Below are 20,140 nucleotides of genomic sequence, written 5' to 3'. Positions count from 1 at the left end.
ACCTGCATGTGCCCACTGCTTCCAGCCTCAGCATCTAGGCCTCACTCCTGCCTTCCCCCAGCCCAAGTAAATGGCAACAAAGCCAGATGTTGCAAGTGAAGAAGGAAGGATTGGGTGTCAGGGTGTGATCTGAGCCAGGTACAAGGCTGTAGACTCTGGGGATGTCATCTCAGCTGCACCAGAAGCTGGAGGCAGCCCAGCAGGGGAAGAGGTGACCTGCAGTCCCCAGGCTGCAGAGGGTCAGAGGTGACATGTGAGTTTCAGGGGCAGCACTTAAAAAGACAAGCAGGGGCCAGGTGCGGTGGCTCATGCCTGTAATCCCAGCACTTTGGGAGGCTGAGGCGGGCGGATCACCTGAGGTCGGGAGTTCGAGACCAGCCTGACCAACATGGAGAAACCCCATCTCTACTAAAAATACAAAATTAGCCAGGTGTGGTGGCACATACCTGTAATCCCAGCTACTAGGGAGGCTGAGGCAGGAGAATCGCTTGAACCCGGGAGGTGGAGGTTGCGGTGAGCCGAGATCATGCCATTGCACTCCAGCCTGGGCAACAAGAGCGAAACTCTGTCGCAAAAAAAAAAAAAAAAGACAAGCAGGGGCCTGCCATTCAGCCACTCCCACCCTAGCCTAGGCAGGGCTAACCCAGGTGAAAGCTGGGTGGCCCCATGGTCAGGAAACAGCTGAACATCAAGAGCAGGGCCAGCTTTCAGGAAGACAGGGGAGCCAGTAGAGGCTGTTCCGCCGTTCTTCTCCCCTGCCCATTACATCCAGTTCCATCAAGGCCTCTCTGCTCTATGCTCTCTTCCCTAGCGAGACCCTGTTATTGAGTGAGAAGCCGGTGCCTGCTCATACTCAGGTGTGAATGGTTAATAAGGCTCACTGTACCATTCTCCAGGAAAAAGTTGATATATCTTGACGAAAATCTTAAAGAAACTAAATTCTGATTCTGCAATCTCAGGCATCAAAGAAGTAGATTGTGAGTTTGTTTGTTTTTAGAGTTGGGTATTCTTAGGGCCCAGGGCATACCCTCTTGGTGTCTGCTTGCTTTAAACCATCAAAAGTCCCAGCCTGGGCCAGGTGCAGTGGCTCAGGCCTATACTCCCAGCCTTTTGGGAGGCTGAGGCAAGAAGATCACTTAAGACCAGGAGTTCGGGACCAGCCTAGGCAACATAACAAGACCCCATCACTATAAAAATGTAGTCGGGTGTTGTGTGCACCTGTTACTTCGGAGGCTGAGGTGGGAGGATCACTTAAGCCCAGGAGTTCAAGGCTGAAGTGAGCCATGATAGAGTCACTGCACTCCAGCCTGGGTGGCAGATGAGATCCTCTCTCAAAAACAAACAAAAAAAGAGTCCCAGTCTGCTTCTCCTTGGACCAGCTTGGATCACCGAGCCTCAGTGACTCGGTGAGTTGGGGGTTGGTAACAGCCTCTCTGAAATCAAACAGACTTAGAATGAAAGAGGGGTCGTTTGTGTTTTGTTTTTAATGGTGAAGAAAGCCCCATTAGTGGAATCATGGTTATATTCTCTCTGCCCTCCCCTGCCCAGGGCCCTTCATTTAAGAGCTTCTGTCTTCATCAATCTGTCAGCAAACAACACGGATGGAGGCGCCTGGTGAGGGCAGCTGGACATGGGATCCTTGGCTGGTCCAGCCCACTTTGCACAGGGACCTGGTCAGGTCTCAGGACCACAGAGAGCTGTGGGAGTAGGAAACTTAACTTCTCCTCCTTCCTCCCACATGCATTGCCTGTGTCTTATCACCCCACGAGCATGCGTGTCACCCTTGAGGGGGGGAGGGAGGTTCCCTCTAGGAATCCTCACATCTTCTTTCCTCCAGTTCATCTGGGAAATCTGTTCGTCTCTTCTCTCCTGGGTGTCACATCAGCCCTCAGAGCCAGAGAAGGACCCGCCCCCCCATTCTCTCGGCTTCAGGTCCCCACAGCTTGCCTGTCTCCTCTCAGGCTGAGACTCCGGAGCTGCTCTGTTCAGACACTCCCCTGTCCCCCACGAGGGCTTCAGGCTGCACTCATATCCATTTCACCCAGCGCCATGCCAGACATTTCCAGGGATTCAGGGAGTATAGAAACCACCCCTGTCCTTGGGGCCACTGAAATCCGCTTAGGGATATAGGGCCCTGTCAGGTGACTGGTATGCCCTGTGACTCTCCCATAACTACCCTGCGGTAGGTTGAATAATGGCTCCCAAAAAGATATATCCAAGTCCTAACCCTTGAAACCTGTGAATCTGGCCTTATTTGGAGAAAGGGTCTTTGCAGATGTAATCAAAGATCTTAAAATTAGATCATCCTGGATATAGGGTGGGCACTAAACTCAGTGACAGGTGTTCTTATAAGAGAAAGGCAGAAGGAGATGTGGGACACAGGCATGGGGCGGGAAGGCCATGTAAAGACTGAGACAGAGATCGGAGTGATGCTGCCACGAGCCAAGAGATGCCTGGAGCCCTCAGAAGCTAGAAGAGGTGCAGAAGAACTCTCCCTGATGCCGCCAGAGGGAGCGTGACCCTGCTGGCACCTTGATTTCAGACTTCTGACCTCCAGAACTGGCAGAGAATACATTCCTGGGTTGTTGTTTGATTTGAGACAGTCTCACTATGTCACCCAGGCTGGAGTACAGTGGCACGATCATGACTCAGTGCAGCCTCAACCCCCCAGGCTCAAGCGATCCCCCTACCTCAGCCTCCTGAGTAGCTGGGATCACAGGCGTGCGCCACCATGCCCGGCTGATTTTTTTTATAGCATTTTGTAGAGACAGGGTCTCACTATGTTGCCTAGTCTGGTCTTGAACTCCTGAGTTCAAGCGATCCTCCAGCCTCGGCCTCCCAAACAGCTGGGATTACAGGCATGAGCCACCATGGTCTGCCAAATTCCTGTTATTTTAAGCCACTGGGTTTGTGGTAATTTGTGCCAGCAGCCTTAGGTGACAACTGCCTCCCACCTTCCTTTCTGTTCTCAGACCCAGTTAGAAGGGCAGGAGGGCTGTCCTTGGAGCACGAGGCCTTTGCACCGTGCAGTCTGTGGGCTCCAGGCCCACCTGTGCTCTCCCTTGTTTCTTAGGCAAGTCTCCCTCGACAGCCTGGGCTCTCTGGGCTGCATTGAGGGGAGGGGTTTGTGAGCATCTGTATCCCTGGAGGCCAGGGTGGCTGGGAGGAGCTGGCCCTCCTTGAGCCCAAGGGGCTGCTGACCCTGTTGCTATAAATCAGGGATCCCCTTGAGAAGATGAGAGGGGGTCCTGAGGAGGGTGGCTTCCTGACAAATTCTCTAGGACAGCAGGGGAGAGAGGGCCAGAGTGGGGTGACTGCCAGAGGGCCCTAGTGGTTGGCAAGGAAGGGCGAGACAAGCATTCAAGGAAGGCTTCATGGGGGAGGCAGCATGGAACTGTGCCTTAAAGACAGAATGAGTGTTAAGTAGGCAGGCCCAAGGGCACTTAGAATAAAACCAAACTCTTTTCTGTGGCTGCAGGCTCCTCTCTTTTCTGTCTTCCATCATGTCCAGTTCCTTCTGCCCCAGGGCCTTGGCTGTTGTAGTTTCCTCTGGCCAAGCCCGCTTGTTCCAGAGCTTTGCACAGCTGCTTTTTCTCCTTGAAGGCTCCACTGAAGCCCAGAGAAGCTTCCTTGACCATTCTCTAAATTCTTCTCTAGGCACCCCTCTTCACATTACCCTGTGTTATTATCTTTGTAGAGATGGGGGAAGACCTGGAAGTATAACCAAATTACTCAATAGGTATGAAAATGTGTACTGCCTTCTTCCCGTGCCCACTCCCTTCCCAATTGGAAGGTAAACTCCTGAGAGCAAGGCCCTCATCTGTCTGGTTCACTGCTGTGCTCCCAGCGCCTGGAACAGAGCCCAGCACAGCAGGCCTCCATCAAGACAGTGCTGGGTGGATCAAGGGAAGGAAGGAAGGGTGGAAGGAAGGAAAGAAGGAAAGGCAGGGGGAAGTCTTCCAAGAATGAATGGCGTTCCAAGTGGCAGAAAGACAGGGAAAAAGGAGTTGTACATGCATGCATAGACACTGTGAGTGTGAAGAGGAGAGGCTGCCAGGAATAGATCAGCCTGCTCAGACCAGAAGAGGTCCCGAGGCCAGCCCTCTCTTACGGCTCCTATAATCAGTGCCCTCTTATTACCTCTACAAATGGGTCCTAGTTCATGGAGGTAGCTACCAAACTCTTCATGGCTGGTGTGGGGACCCTGGCCAGTGGTACTGTGTCTGGTGATTCTACTTGAGGCCCCAGGCCCTGGCTCTCATGGGAGTCCATCCCATAGGTACCGCTTTCCCAAGAAGAGCCCTGGAGGCTGTGGTTGGTTTGGGGGTTTAACTGTTCTCATCTCCCTTCACATGCAGAATAAAATCCAAAGTCCTCACGGTGGCTCTCAAGGCTTGACATGATCCAAGTGCAAAGATCATGGCTCCCCCACACTCTCTAAGCTTTAAAACCCCAGGTTGAAATCCCAGCTCAGCCACTAGATAGCTGTGTGACTTTGGACAGGTCCTTCAACCTTTCTGAGCTGCCATCTCCTCTAGGACAAAATGGGCCTGGTTAAAGTACTTGCTTCAAGGTTGTTGCGAGGATGAAGGGAGGGAATTCAGTGAAAAGCTCTTAGTGTGCACCAGGTGTGTGCTGAGCGCTTAGCTACCATTAACCCTTTCCTCCTTCCTCCTCTGCCCACTAACGTCCCCACTGTCAATCAATCTTAGGGCTTCCAGAGGTAGCAGCCATAGAGCCCAGGCCTCCGATGAGCACACAGCAGTCCCAGTGGAGAAGGGACCTGTTTCAGGGTCACACAGCCAGCCTGTGGCCCAGGTAGGACTTGAACCCCAGACTCCCACCGGAGGCCCCCACTCCTTCGCTGGTCTCACCCCAGCCCAGCCCAGAGTGGCAGGAAGAAGGACCTCCAGTTACTGCTTAGACGTCGCAGCTGCACAGCTTCTTCTCCGCTTTCAGGACTGAGTTAATCCTGATGAGTTAGGTCTGTCTCATGCCCCGTGCAATCTTCCTTGCGATGCTCATCAGATTCCTAGGGCGGCATCTGGATGGCTTTGAAGACTCTGGCAGAAGCTGAGCCCTGCCGTCAACGGGCTGCACTATATTTACAAGAGGCCTTTAATGCCCTGTGGTCCCGGCTTCCTTCATGGGGATTTTCCTCCCCCTCCTTTTTCTCTCCCCCTTTTTATACGGTCACCGGTTTGGCTTTCAGAGTGTGGTTTGGATTCCTAACAGAGAAGTCAAGACCGGAGAATCCCTTCCAGGCCCTCCCTCTCTCCCTCCCTCTCTCCCCCACTGGCCAATTGTGCCAAAGCCCTGGGAAAAGAAAACGTTGCTCCTGTCAGGATTTCAGCGGGAAAGGGGGAAGCCCCATTGGGCTTCCAAAAACTCAGCTGGGAATTGGCTTGTGCAGAAATTCTCCTCTGACCTTGCAAGTGAGCAGCAGATCCAGGAGCCTGGTGGGGAGGACTGGGCAGCCCCAGGCACAGTGGCCCGGTGGCCTCACTCAGAGTGCAGACTGGAGGGCAGGGCGGGGTCCTGTGCTTGGGGCCAGCATGGGGAGGAGTCAGGAGCACCCTCTCATCTACCTCCCCACCCCAACCTATCCCTCCCTTCTCTGGATCTCCTACACCTGTGGAGGCCTCAGTGCTCCTTAACTAGTTTTTAAAATGAGTTCTTCCCAGCACTTTGGGAGGCCAAGGTGGGCGGATCATCTGAGGTCAGGAGTTCGTGACCAGCCTGACCAACATGGAGAAACCCCACTCTACTAAAAATGCAAAATCAGCCGGGTGTGGTGGCACATGCCTGTAATCCCAGCTACTCGGGAGGCTGAAGTAGGAGAATTGCTTGAACCCGGGAGGCAGAGGCTGCAGTGAGCTGAGATCATGCCATTGCACTCCAGCCTGGACAACAAAAGTGAAACTCCGTCTCGGGAAAAAAAAAAAAAGAGAGTTCTGTCTGCAACTAGGACAGGAATGATCTAAGCCTCAGCCAGAGCTTTGGCTAACCTTGAGATTGGGGGCTGGGAGAGGGACCCCATTTATCTTCCCATCTCCCTGCTTTCTTTTTTGTCCCCCAACAGGATGAGAAAGGGCGGGAGTGCATTTTTGGAGGCTGAGGCCCTGCTCCATGCAGGTTTGTGGGCCCTCCCCCACCCTCCTGTGGTCCCCCTGGGTTTCCTCTGTATCTCAGACAGTCCTTCAGGGTCCTGCTCATACGGCTGGACCGCTGGTGTCACTGGGTCTGGGCATCCCTCAGCTTCTGACAAACAACTGCCTTCATTAGAAAGGCCCAGAATTCCAGCCCCAGGGCCACCCATCTTCTTGGCAGTCCTGAGCTCAGGTCACCTCATGTTTTTATTTTTACACAGCCTCCCCCTGGCCTCACACATGTAGCCTGTGGCATGTGAGCAATCAAGCGACAGGCAACCAAAAAAGGGTAGGAGGCAAAGAGGCAAGGAATACCGAATCTGTGACATCTTCCCCCAAGGAACAGCGGCGTCGCCAGTGTCTGGATAAATCACGTTTTATCTCCTTTCGAGAGGGACGCAGGGCAGAGCCGCTTCATCTTGGTGATGTCGTCTGTCTGCACAGTGTTGTCCATCTGACAGGGAGATGGCCCGGCCCTCTGGCTTCAGAGAAAAGATGATGAAGGAGAGCTTGAGCAAGAGTCCAGGAGAGGAACAAGAATGACCCAGCAAGCACTCATTGAGCATCTGCTGAATGCAAAGCCTAGTGCTCCATGTAGTGTGGGGGCAGACAGGAGGGGTGAGCTGCAGAGCCATCATGGAGAGATGAGAGATATCCACGGGAAGCAGGTCACATGCAATAGGATGCAGTTACACGTTCCACTGTCTGACTTCAGCAGGGCTGGCGACCAATGCTTGTGGTGGCAGGGAAGTCAGGGGTGGCTGCAGCTGGGGTTTTCATGGCCCCTGGGTCCCCTGTCTGTTCACTTCTGCCTACCAAAGGCTGCTCACTGGAGCCACTAGGGCCTTCTACCTCAGGGCTTTGTCTAGCCATGGGCACACACTCAGCCAGATGTGCTGGAGTTAACGCCCTCAGAGGCAGTCCTCAGTGACAAACAGGGAGTTGGTGGGTAGATCCCCAGCCTCCACATGTCAGGTACATTCTCTGTCATCTCCTGGAGCCCCCCAGCAGAATTGAGCTCTAGTTGCCCACCATGATTAACTGGCCTGATAACACTTCCTTCCCCTCCCTGCCCTTACTGTCCCACTCCCCTAATGATATTTCTTGGGATCGCCTCCAAAACAAGTCAAATCCTTGTTTCTGGGGCTGTGTCTGGGGGAATAATCTAAATCAAGGCAATGGCTTTTCTGAGTACTTCACTCGGACCTTGACAGAAGCAGCTGGTGTGGATTCATATGCAGTCTACCTGTCTGCTCACATGCAATGGAAATGATCTAAATTGGGTGTCCTTTAATTCAAGTTATGAAAACCCATCTTCAACTCATTTAAATGAAAAAGAAAATGGTATTGTTTTATGCAACTGAAAAGTACCAGGTGGACCCTGGTTTAGGAACAGCTACCGACATCCAGCTGCTGAAATGATGTCAAAGGGCTCTGTCTCTCCCTCTCTCCACTTGGCTTTTCAATCACTCAAGAAGCTTTTACCAAGCACCTGTCTTGTGCTAGCCACCCTTCCTTTCTCTCATTCCGTTTGCTTCCCAGGCCACTAGAGGTGCCAGGCTTTCATCCTGCCAGCTTAGCAACCGTGGGAAAAAGCAGTCTCAGGGCTGACTCTCATTGGCCCAGATTGGGTCCCTCCCCACCACTGAGCCAATCACTGTGACTCTGGCTGACTAGGCTGCATCCTGTGGCTACCTTTGTTGCTAGGGGGTGTGGCTAGACTGACTGACACCACAAGGACTGGGAGTGGAAGATGCCTTCTCCAGGGGGAAATTAGGTAGACTGAGGCAACAGATGCCCGTTACAGCTACAGGTGAGCACTTCATCATGTGCCAAGCTCATGGGCCCCAAAATGGGTCACAAGTGCTATAACTCACAGCAGAATGTGGCAGATAGCCTAGGAATGGACAACGAGTTGTGGATGTTCTGGAAAGAGGGACATTACTCCCAGCTCAGCCAATCAAGGAAGGCCTTCTGAAAAGGGGGCTTTGGCCCTAGACATTGACAGCCGCCTAGCACAGAAGTCAGTTGTGTAAGACCTTGAACATCAAACCAAGGAGTTCAGATTCTAAATTTCTCAGACTAGAAAAGGACTTATGTCTTGATGCATTTGTTATGATTGAATGTGGCCAGCTTGGGAGAGTCAGCTGGGAAGGTCTGAGGGGCTGGCATTTCCTGTAAGCCTTGCCCATACCTGTAGAGGGGTGTCCCAGCCCAGCTGGCAGCAGCCCGTATGGCTGGAGGCTGTGTGTGCAGCGAGGCCAGGGAAGAGTCAGGCTGGGACAGCCATGCTTCCCTTGGTATTGCCTTGTGCCCGCCCTGGAAGGAGCCACCCACCTAAACTAAGAATAGGAATTCCTGCCCAGCTGGCAGGAACGAATGCCGATTTCTCAAGGAGGGATGGGCCTGAAAACAAAGCGTAGCATGTGGGCTGGGCTCTACTTTGTGTTGATTTGCAAGGTCACTTGAGAGCCGCACCCACTCCGGGCATTCATTGATCCTGCCATTAGATCCAGGCAAGGTGGCCTGGCCAAGTCACTCATTGAATCCCAAGATGGCAGCCTCCAGGGCTCCTCACCCACCAGAGAGGTCCTGGGCTCTCAGCCTAGGGCGCCTCCTGCCCTCCAGGAAAGGTGACTGTTTCTCTCTTGTTTCCTTGACCGTGGACGGGGTGGTGGCAGGTAGTGCTGGACTAAGATGCTGAGAAGCCAAGGGAGAGGGGAATGAGAAGGTCTCTGTAGCAGTTTTAGCCAGAATCCCCCACTCATGAGCATCTCTCTTCCAGGCAAGATCCTCTTCCGCAGAAGCCACATCCGGGACGTAGCTGTGAAGAGACTGAAGCCCATCGATGAATACTGCCGGGTGAGAGTGTATCTGGGGCTGGGGGAGGGGCTCGGGGAGGGCTTCAGGGAGGAGAGGGGCCCATTTGCCTGAGTGTCCATCTGTGAGGAAAGGTTGCTGTACAGAACCGTCCTGAGGCCTGGTGTTTCCTGGCCAGAGGGGTGGGTATGGGATCACCCCGTAGCTGGGCCACCCTCTGGGACCCAAGGACCTCGGGTTCACAGCTAAGCTTCTGTGCCTGTCAGGACATATCCATGTTTACAAAACACAGTTTTAAGTCACTTCCTCTGGGAAGTGAACTGAGCTCAGGAGCTAAGTCAAAGAGCCTCCTTCTGAAGGGCTGCTTGCTTCTCTATGTGAGATTTTGCTGGACATAGAAGAACTATTTCTTTGAATTCCTGTTGGGATGTTGTTGGGATCAGTTCACTAGCATCAGCAGTACACATTTGTTTATTCACCTAAATCTTGGTAACTACAAATGTTCATGTACACATCTTTACAGATGCAGGTGTTCACACAAACACATGCACATTAACACAGCCAGTGCCAAAGAGCAGGCAGGAGAAGGACAGCAGTGTCATGAGCCAGAGCCCACCTGTCTGTCTTTGATTAGAGCCCAGCGCTGCTGCAGAGAGCATGAGTGGCTACCAGAGGATGAGCGGCCCTCAGTTTCCTTGGCACATGGCCTCTGGAGGGCCAGTCTTCCTGGGTTGGAAGCCCTGTCTAATTTCATGAACTTGGGCAAGTTACTGAACTTCCCTGAGCCTCTATTTCCACATCCGTCCAATAGGGAGGAGAACACACAGGGTGCCTCCACACGGTGGTCATGAGGATGGAATGAGCTGGCACATTGTAAGGCAACAGCACAGCGTCTGGCTCAGAAGAAGCATTCAGCAGATGCTTTTGTTATTATTTTTACAAAGGGCAAACAATTTGTATTAAATAAACAAGCAAATGAAAAAGCTTTATTTTTTAAAAATTTTTATTTATTTATTTATTTTGATGAGACAAGATCTTTCTCTGCAGCCCAGGCTGGAGTGCAGTGGCACCATCTTGGCTCACTGTAACCTCCACCTCCTGAGTTCAAGCAATTCTCATGCCTCAGCCTTCCGAGTAACTGGGATTATAGGAGTGCGCCACCATGCCTGGCTAATTTTTGTATTTTTAGTAGAGACGTGGTTTTGCCATGTTGGCCAGGCTGGTCTCAAACTCCTGGCCTCAAGTGATCTGCCTGCCTTGGCGTCCCAAAGTGCTGGGATTACAGGCGTGAGCCACCGCACCCAGCCATATTTTTAACATGTTTTTGAGACAGGGTCTCGTTCTGTTGCCCAGACTGGTGAAAAGGCTTTATTAAAAGCAAATAAAAAAAAAAAACAAGCAAATAAAGCAAACACAAAATAATTTAATGTTTCTACTGGGCACCATTGGCTTTAATAGAGCTAGAATTTCGTAGTTAAATGAAACCCACTGTGGTTCCTGACTCAAAAATCTTGAGAAGATGTGGTATAATGTGTTATAATGTGGCAAATAAGGTATAAAATTTCACAAGTGCTGGTATTAGAGTATCAGAAGGAGAAGAGCTGGAGTCGAATCCCGGTGCCCACTTACTAGCTACGTGACCTTGGGCAAGCTGCTTTGCCTCTTTGAGCCCTAGTTTCCTCATCTGTAAAATGAATATAAAAACACTACCTCACATGGGAGCTGAGTAGGGAGAATGTATATCACAGTGTCCTCATACAGAGCTGTTGCAGGAGGAGCACTTGAGGCCAGGAGTTTGAGACCAGCCTGGGTAGCATAACGAGACCTCATCTCTCCAAAAAAAAAAGTTTAAAATTAGCCAGGCGTGGTAGCACACACCTGTAGTTGAGGTGAGAGGACTGCTTGAGTCAGGAGGTCAAGGCTACAGTGAGCTATGATCACGCCACAGCACTCTAGCCTGGGTAACAGGGAACGATCCTGTCCCTAAAAAAATAAAATAAAATAAAATAAATAAAAAATGTTTAAGAACCAACTTGCTAAATTTATTAACTGGCATTCCCAAGCCTATAGGAAGAAAAGACAATGTAGTCTTCATTAAACTGAAGTTTGAATTTCGTGACTGTGAACATTATACTTGGGTCACATGTTCTGCCTTATTTTAAAAGGATGCCCCAGTGCTGGATTCCCTTAAGCTAGAAACTTCTCTTCTTCAGACCAATATTCATTTTTCTCTTTAACAGGCATTCACTGTTTCTGGTTAAATTGATGGCTGTAGCCTGAGCTTTTATTTCTCTTTTTTCCTTTCTCAAGAAGTTAAATAAATGGGCAAAGCTAATGGAGGAGGGGGCATAGGGCGGGAGGAAGGCTTTTCCAGCTGGGATTTATAGCTCAGATTAGCCAGCCCAAGGCATCTGCAGTTGGGCTCCAAGGAAATGCTGTCTGCTGGGTCATCCGGAGGAGGAAGTGATAGCATCTTATCTCCTGGGATCAGGCTTTGAACAGGACTCCTGATTCAGAGGGGCTCTGGAGCTCCAGTGTACCACGCGTAGCTGGGGGAGCCATTGAAGTGGGGTCTGCAAGAGGAGGGACCTCCTAACCTGATTAGCACAGATGGAAACTGCCCAGAGCCAGACAAGGAATGGGGCCATGGGCTCACCAAGCAGACAGCCATCTATCTCACAGGCGGTGATTTACTCTGAGAATGGCGGGGGTGGGGCAGTACAGAGTGACCTTTAATTCTGCTGAACTAAGAAGCTGGGATCTGTGGTCTGATTGTCTGAGAAACCCACTGACCTTGGAATGGTTTTTAGGGACAAGTCCATGGCCACTGCCACCTAGCTATGCATTTCACAGCTGGCCTCCAGACAGACCACTCAGCATCACCGGCCGACCCCAGCCAGCACAGTGCCGTGTGCAGTCCGCTCCACGGCCAGACCTTCCCCTGTCTCTACCTGCCTTTGTCTACGTACTGCCTAGAGCCTCTGGAGTCTCTACTTACAGTGCCCTGCATAGCCCACCTGCTTGGCTGGTCATCTTCCTTCGACCTGCTAGACAATGTGGGCTCAGAGTCTGGGGTTTGATGGGAATTCAAATGCACCCAAAATTGTGCAGCTGGCTCTGCACACAGAGCAGCCGGCTCCCTGCAAGGACTCAGACATGGAAAGTCTGACCGTGCAGTGGACCTCCCCAGACTTTGGGCTCCCTGCCCTTGCTGGCCAGCCAGTCCCACCACCTAATGGCGGTTTCACAGCCCAATATCAGTGTTAATTTTTAACATATAAGCAGCAGATTGGATGGGAATCACGGAAAATTTACCACATGCCGACTGAGTGATCATTTTATGTGGCACTTGAGGGTCAGGTGTCTATGAAGAGGGGTTCCAAAGGCATTTCTTTAACTTTATAAATTAATTTAAACGGAAACGTGGTAATGCAGTTAATATTTAATGGTCTGAGACCTCAACAAGTCGAAGACTTTCATCAGACTAACAAGAGTAAGCTATACCATAGAGGCTTGGACTCACAATTTTTTAAGTGACTCTATTTACCCCGTTCCTAGGGGTGAAATACATGTTTGCAGTGTTTGTCCAAGGGATAAAATGAATATTCTAGGGAGGGGTTCAGAGAGGAGTGTGAGAGAGTGTTTGAGAATGAGCAACTCACCCTTTGACATGTTAATGACATTTATCCAAGTCACCACTTCCTGGTTGGTACGACTAGAATTTTTTTGCTGCCCAAATAGCTGAGCATGTTTCTATTATTCGTCTATCTATGACACATTTGATTTCAGGGATCAATGGCTTTCTTTGTAGGAGGGAAGAGGGATTGGGTGCAGTCAGACTTAAGGGCAGGAAGTCTGAGCCCAACAAGAGGTCAGCACTGAAGGGTAAGGATCCCCTGACCCTCCCCCTCTGCACTTCCCAGACTCATTCATTTTTATTCCCACTTCCCAGACTTGAAAACTGAGGCTATTGCATGGCAGTGGTTCCTAGTCCCAGGTATTCTCCCTTCCACTGTGGGATTTTCCACCACAGCCAATCATTGGCTCTCCCCTTGAGGAGAGTAATGTTGTTCTTGTGGTCCTTGTTCTAAAAGCAGACCTGGCCCAGGAGAGGCCTTGCCAATGGGGAGTCTTAGGCAGAGCCCAAGGCTGATCCATTCATGAGGTGCCTCCTGAGTGGCCTGGTTCTCTGGGGGAACCCAGATAGTAGAACCTCACCATCTCCCTCAACCCAGATAGTAGACCCAGGAGAAGGAGTTTCTAGGCTGAGATAAAGCAGATCATGTCCCTTTTCTCCTTAAAGACCTTCAGAGGCCCGGGCACAGTGGCTCATGTCTGTAATCCCAGCACTTTGGGAGGCCAAGGTGGGCATATTGCTTGAGCCCAGGGGTTTGAGACCAGCCTGGGCAACATGGTGAAACCCTGTCTCTACAAAAAATACAAAAAGTAGCTGGGCGTGGTAGTGCATGCCGGCAGTCCCATCTATTGGTGAGGCTGAGGTGGGAGGGTCACTTGAGCCTGGGAGGCAGAGGCTGCAGTGAGCCATGGTTGCACCACTGCACTCCAGCCTGGGCAACACAGTGAGACCCTGTTTCAAAAAAAAAAAAACAAAAACGGGACTCCTTCAGAGGAGTCCTGCTGCCCCCGAGAAGAATATCTGAGCACCTCAGCTGGGCCCTGTGTGGGCTGGTTCCAAGTGCTGCTGGGGCCTCAGCTCCTGCCTCTGTCTTCCATATCCTGCAGTCCAGTCCGGCAGACACAAGGCCATCCCCAGCTAGCCAGGCCTCCGCCCCTGAGCCTGTGCTGGTCCCCTGCCTGGGTGCACATTCAGTCTCCGCAGTGGGCCCTTCCATAAGCCTCATGACTCCCCAGGAAAAGCTGATCACTCCTGCCATTCTGCCCCCAGAGGACTGCGCCCACCCCGACTCTGTGCATTTCTCCTCTGCAGGAGGGTAACTTCTGTGTGTCTGTCTTCTCCCAGACTATGAGCTCCTTGAGGGCCACATTTGTCGTCTCTGTGTCTTCACTAATAAACAGGAAGCCCAGCCCTAAGGGATTGTCCAGCCAATGCCTGATGACAAGATGGAAAGATCACAAGTAGACAAAACTTCCTCAGAGAGTGACATATCCCCCAGGCCCTGATGTACTAAGATCCCTTGTGAAATGGCTTAAACTGCTACCAAGAATTAGACATCATTTACATTTCAAGGGGAGTCGCTGCTCAGATCCTTCAAAAAGAAAACCCATGTGTTTTGAATACTCTGAACTCAGAAGTTCAGTGAGACCCCAGCTTTCTAGATGGTGACCTAGAAAGAACAGTCCAAGCAGGTTAGAGGCAGCCCCAGAGGTGGGGCTGGAAGGACACAGGTGGGAGGCCAGAGGGGCAGGATGCCAGCCCCCTTGTGCCACACCTCCAACTCCACCCAGCGCGGCCGGGCTTTTACCCACAAGATTTCCAGGGATTAGAAACTGATGCTTTAAAAAAATTAAAAAACAAAAAAAATCAGTGTGCAGGAAGGAGCAAAAAAAAAAAAAAAAAAAGAAACGAGAAAAGAAACTGATGCTGCTGAAAAGAGAGAAGCAATTGATCCTGTGTAAAGAGTGGGCACCTGTAGTGTTTTGCCAAATGCACAGCTTTGCTCTTTGTCCTGACGCAGGCATTACCCAGAGTGGTGGGCTCTGTGGAGGATGACCGTTTCGAGGCAGAAGGCCTGAGCACAGTCTGCCGGGGCCCCCTCCTGTGCCACTTGCATGTGCAAAGACCACACTTGTGCTCACCATAGCTGAGTGGAGGTCTTAGAGACACACAATGCAGCCACCCTCTCCCTTGTTTACACCTGCATCATTGGCCATGATGACACTCAGTGCTAAGTGGTGGCTCATGTCATGGCCCCCATGAAATGGTCTTGAGGGGCAGGAGCTGGAGACTGCAGGACAGTTTAGGACTGGAAATGGGGAAACTGGCAGGGCTAGCTGATGGCAAAACCTGAATGGCTCTTCAGCACCTCATTACCAGTCCCCGCGACCCAGTTACCCACTACCCCAGCCCCTTCCTGCATGCCATTTCTGCAGATCTGCTCTCAGCCAGCTCACTGACCCCTGGTTTACAGAATGGCAGGGTTGGAGGGGGACTGAGGCCAGCTCAGCTGACATTCTCCAGGGACCTGCATAGTTCCAGCAGCCCCGCAGGGCAATGCTTCCTCCCACTTGCCCCAGAACCTGAGGGCTAGAAAGTCGTACTCATTTCAGCCCTTCTCCAACCTGAGGCCTTCGGAACCCTCTGAGCTCACCTGAGCTCTATTAGAAAGTCTCAATCAGATTGATTGATAGATCAGACAAATGAATTCACTGGTGATGGTGCTGTTTAGTTAGAGCTATTAACAGTTAGAGCTGGAAGAAACTTCAGAATGTCTTGAACCTGGATTTGCCTCAGCTGTGTTCCACAGGGCGTCACTAGGAGTTGTCTGGAAAATCAGCACCGCAGTCAAATACCTGTGGGTAAAGCTAGAGGCAGGAGGGAGTGGATCAGGGCATAGGCTCTGGACTCAGCCTGATTCAAAATTTTGCTACTTACAGCCGGACGCCATGGCTCATGCCTGTAATCCCAGCACTTTGGGAGGCCGAGGCAGGTGGATCACTTACTTGAGGTCAGGAGTTCGAGATCAGCCTGGCCAACTTGGTGAAACCCCGTCTCTACTAAAAATACAAAAAATTAGCCTGCTGTGGTGGCACGTGCCTGTAAATCCCACCTACTCAGGAGGCTGAGACAGGAGAATCGCTTGAACCCGGCGAGGGGGAGGCTGCAGTGAGCTCAGATCGGGCCATTGCACTCTAGCCTGGGTGACAGAGTGAGACTTTGTCTCAAAAAAAAAAAAACAAACAAACAAACAAAAAAAACAACTCTTTGCTACTTACTAGCTGTGAGGCCTCAGGGAATTATGTAAACTCTCTGTGCTTTAGTTTCTTCTTCTGTAAAACTGAAATCATAGTCATACTGTCCTCTTAGAGTTGATGTGCTGATTAAATGACACAGTCCTACAGGATATTGTTAGTAGTAGTAAATGCTGGCTTGTACAAAGCTCTACAGGTTTCTTTCCTGCAGGATTTCTCAGAGGCTTTGTGATGGTAACAAACATGGTGATCCCCAAGGCCAAGATGGGGGGACCCTCAAGGCAGATTTCACATGTGCTCACAGAGCTCATTTCACCTCATCAGGGAGTTCTTCCATGAGACATACTTCGGGATTCCATTTTATCTTGGAAGAAATGACAACCAGAGAGGTGAAGTGAGCTGCCTAAGGTCACACAGCAAGTATATAACTGCAGAACTGGAACTAGAATTGACTCCTGTCTCCCATTCCAGTGCTCTTTCAAGTGTTCATCACTGCTTTCTCCTAAAGAATGACAATGGCAGCGATGACACTAATGTTATCACGGCTCACATTTACTGAGTGTACTCTTCACCAGCCACTGTGCTCGGCTTCTCATATTCATCTCGCTTAACTTCCTAACAGCTAGGTAGGTGCCACGTCACATCCCAGAGCTCAGAGGGCAGGTAATGCATCCAGCCTCACACAGCCCATAAATGGCAGAGCCAGGACCCAAACCTGCATCTGCCTGCAGCCCTGAGGTCCTGAGGCTCTGAGGCCCTGAGGCTCTGAGGCCCTGACTTTACCACCACGTGGCATACATCATGAATGTCTCATGGCAGAATTTTAGACCTAAGCTGGGGTTGCTAACCCTGATATGCCCATTATCTGGCCCCCTACTCTGCTCTTCTCACAACGGCTGGGCTTGGGGGTGCCCTGGCCCTGGCCATCATCACCAGCCCAGGCTGCGGGGACTCACTGCTCAGCATCACTCTCTCCTGCCAAATGATTTTGGCCAGAGCTGAGCTTTGGCAGCAGCTCTGATGGAAGCTGCTCTGGGCTGAGAGCCTCTTGTCAGCCTGAAATCAGGACGAGCCCTCCACGCGGCTCCCCTCAGGGCTCCCCGTTAAATAAAGATGCTGCGGTTGTTCCACCAAAAGGCCTCTTTGTCTGAGGCCCTCGTGGCCCACGCGTCCTCTGCCTCCGGAATGTGGGTCTCTGTCGGCATGAAGAGCCCCTCTGTTCCCTGCCAGGGCTGGGTGAGCCATGGCTGGCCAGGGTCTGTGCTTAGGGTGAGTGGCAGCACACTGAGCGGGGAGGGCACTAGTGCTGTGGGCCGCTGAAACCCGCCCTCTCCTGCCCTGCGTCCCTCCTTCTCCCTTTCAGGGTGGTCACCCGGCAATGACTTTGCACAGAGCCGGGATCCCTGGTAATGGTTTCCTCCTGCCTTCTGCCCATCCCGACCCCATTGGCACTCTCTCCTGGGGCCCCCTGTCCTCCCTGACTTTCTCTCCCTCCCTCTTGCTCCCTGTCTGTCTCTCTCTTTCCTCAGTTTTTCATTTCCTTTTCCTTCTACCCTTCCCAAGGAGAACACAGCATGGACAGTGTGCGTTAAATGAGAACTTGAATATTCTGGAGGCATGCTCCACCCATCTGACCTTCACAGCTTGGGGCTGGATTCTGCCCCTTTCCTCACTTATGGCTTCACCCCCAGCAGCCTCAGTGTCCCCATCGTATGTGGAGGCAATGATGTCTACCTCCAGGACAAAATGGGGTGACATGTCATTAGATTTGCTCTCTCTCATCCCTGTAAAACCAGGCACAGCCCCATATGCAGCACACACTGCAAAGCCCTCACTGTTTGGTGGATGACTGGAGGAGTCAAGGGGCCAAGGATAGGGCCTGACACATAGCTGCTCATTTAATGTTAATTTTCCTTTTCTGTTTTTTGCCTGTTGATGGAGATGTGTTATTTCAGAGACCCTTGGAGAGCCATGACCCCTGAAAGGAATGACTGAGGGTTACATCATGCTCTCTTATCTGCCATGGTCTGGTCTTACCTCATCTTGCCTGGGTGTGGGTTTGGCATCGAGAAGGGCCCATCTTGATAGGATGCCTGGTGCTAGATGGCACACTTCAATTGTTATCTAACTAGCTCAGAGAATAACTAAACCATTACTTTCCTCTTCCTCAATATTATAATTCTATAGATGCAACCTAAGATTATATGTGGGTTTTTTGCCCCACTATCATGTCCCATAGCTACTGGATATTGGGCTTATAGACATGGAAACCTTCACTACCTTATCCATTTTTCATTCATTTCTTTAAACAAATATAAATCAAGTGCCTGCTCTGTCAGGTACTCTACTAGGATCTGGGGACACAGAAATCAACCAAACAGACTAAAATCGCGCCTGCATGGAGCTTACCTTCCAGTGAGTCTTTCCCACCCTCCGTGGGTGCCTGTGGGCAGGCCACATGTCTCCCTGCACCTCTGTCTCCTCACCCGTAGTATGGGGATGGGAATTGTGCCCTCATGAGGACGACCCTCATGAGAATTTCCTGGAACGACACTCACAGACTTACTGTACTTGGCCCAGGAGCCACTGGATCTAGGCCTTGCATCTGAAGCTGGTCGTGGTGTGTGAGGTTTCAGGAGGCAGGGGTATGGGACAGGGTCCTGTCTTATAGACCAGGTCTCATCAGGAGTTTCTCACAAACCCTGTGTTTGTTGACTCCTCCAGTCCTGGGTTTTCCTGTCTTCTCCTGGCTCTAGCCCTCGGCTCCCTGTCCCCGTCCCTCAGCTCTGCTTTGGTAGTGTTCTCTCCTGTCTGTTTGGACCAGGGGATCCTTCCTTGCCCCAGTATTTCTCCCCATACTAAATTGAGGGGCCCAGAAAACGGGGCTACACCCGGCCTCACCCTACACCCCCAACCCCTCCATGTCGGACTGGGCCAGGTCAGGGTCCTGCGTGCTGGTGTGCAGCATGAACTCTGACTGCCTTCTTTTTATTTTATTTTGTTTTATTTTATTTTATTTATTTTTATTTTTATTTTATTTATTTATATTTTTTTGAGACAGAGTCTTGCTCTGTTGCCCAGGCTGGGGTGCAGTGGCACGATCTTGGCTCACTGCAGCCTCTGCCTCCTGGGTTCAAGCGATTCTCCTCCTGCATCAGCCTCCCGAGTAGCTGGCATTACAGGCGCCCTCCACCACACTGGCTAATTTTTGTATTTTTCGTAGAGACGGGGTTTCTCCATGTTGGCCAGGCTGGTCTCCAACTCCTGACCTCAAGTGATCTGCCCACCTCGGCCTCCCAAAGTGCTGGGATTACCGGCATGAGCCACCACGCCTGGCCTAACTCTGACTACCTCCTGACCTAGTGCCTCACTTTCCAGCTGCAGACTCTCCCCATGCCTGGATGACAGGCTCACAGCTGGCCCACGCACTTGCCATGACTACTGTTTCCCATAGAATGCCCACTCCTCCTCTCTGCTTGTCCAAACCCTGCAAACTCCACAAGCCGTGCTCCTGCCCACTCTTCTAAGAAACCTTTCCACACTCTTCAGTTTACATTGTTTCTCCAGGCATCCTCAGCTTGGCCTAAAACAAGGCCCTGCTAGTCATGCCCCTGCCCACCTCCTATGGCCCCTCTCCCTTGCTCTGGGTCCTCAGGCCGCACTGGCCTTCATTCATCTCCTGAAACCAACATGCTTGATCGCTCCACCTCCACCTTGACCAGTTAATTGTTATCCATCCTTCAGAACTTAGCTTTAAAGAGTCCTTCCTGAAACACTGGCTCCCCATCTTCCACATCTTCTTGGGTTCTATCAAACTCCATCATAGTGCTTTGTTGTCCTTGGCAGCAATTATCAACTTGTCATGAAATAATTAATTTTGTGGTCAGTGTTTAGGGAGTGTGAATGCCTGGTGCAGCTGGAGCGTGGCTAGTGGAAGACAAGGCTGGGAGGACGTGACCTTGGACTGTTAGGTTATGGATCTTGGACTTATTCTGTGTGCAGAAGGGAATTCCCTCAGGGTTCCTGCAGAATGATTAGCTCCTGAGGACCCTAAGACCCAGGGTTCCAGGGTTCAGTGGTCTTTTTTTTTTTGTTTAAGTCAGTTGTTTAGTTGGTTGACTGGCTGGTTGGATGGTTGGTTGGTTGGTTGGTTGGTTGACTGGATGGTTGATGGGTAGGTTGATTGGATAACTGGTTAGGGGTTTTCTTGTTGTTGTCTTGTTGGTTTGTTGATTAATTGGCTGGTTGGTTAGTTGGTCAGTTAGTTGGCTGGCTAGTTA

At 51.2% G+C, this 20,140-nt stretch overlaps 1 protein-coding gene across 2 annotated transcripts in view, besides 2 other annotated features; it reads left to right on the top strand.

Moving 5' to 3' along the window:
• SH3PXD2A (SH3 and PX domains 2A) overlaps window positions 1-20,140 on the top strand; it is a 261,550-nt gene that overhangs the window by 110,834 nt on the left and 130,576 nt on the right. For both annotated transcript variants that reach the window (NM_014631.3, NM_001394015.1), the window contains exon 4: window positions 8,935-9,011. In NM_014631.3, coding sequence (NP_055446.2) covers window positions 8,935-9,011 — 77 coding nt within the window. The remainder of the gene's footprint in view (window positions 1-8,934; window positions 9,012-20,140) is intronic.
• Window positions 11,454-12,001: an enhancer, noted in NCBI's record as "H3K4me1 hESC enhancer chr10:105492500-105493047 (GRCh37/hg19 assembly coordinates)". NCBI's record gives its function as "activates a minimal SCP1, AML or CMV promoter by ChIP-STARR-seq in naive and primed H9 embryonic stem cells {active_cell/tissue: H9 hESC(naive and primed)}" and the evidence as "EXISTENCE:reporter gene assay evidence [ECO:0000049][PMID:30033119]".
• Window positions 12,002-12,550: an enhancer, noted in NCBI's record as "H3K4me1 hESC enhancer chr10:105491951-105492499 (GRCh37/hg19 assembly coordinates)". NCBI's record gives its function as "activates a minimal SCP1, AML or CMV promoter by ChIP-STARR-seq in naive H9 embryonic stem cells {active_cell/tissue: H9 hESC(naive)}" and the evidence as "EXISTENCE:reporter gene assay evidence [ECO:0000049][PMID:30033119]".

The sequence above is a fragment of the Homo sapiens genome, chromosome 10, assembly GCF_000001405.40.
Source record: "Homo sapiens chromosome 10, GRCh38.p14 Primary Assembly".
NCBI classification, from domain to species: Eukaryota; Metazoa; Chordata; class Mammalia; order Primates; family Hominidae; genus Homo; species Homo sapiens.
The sequence above is the reverse complement of the archived record's forward strand: the minus strand, read 5'-3'. Positions and strand labels throughout refer to the sequence as shown.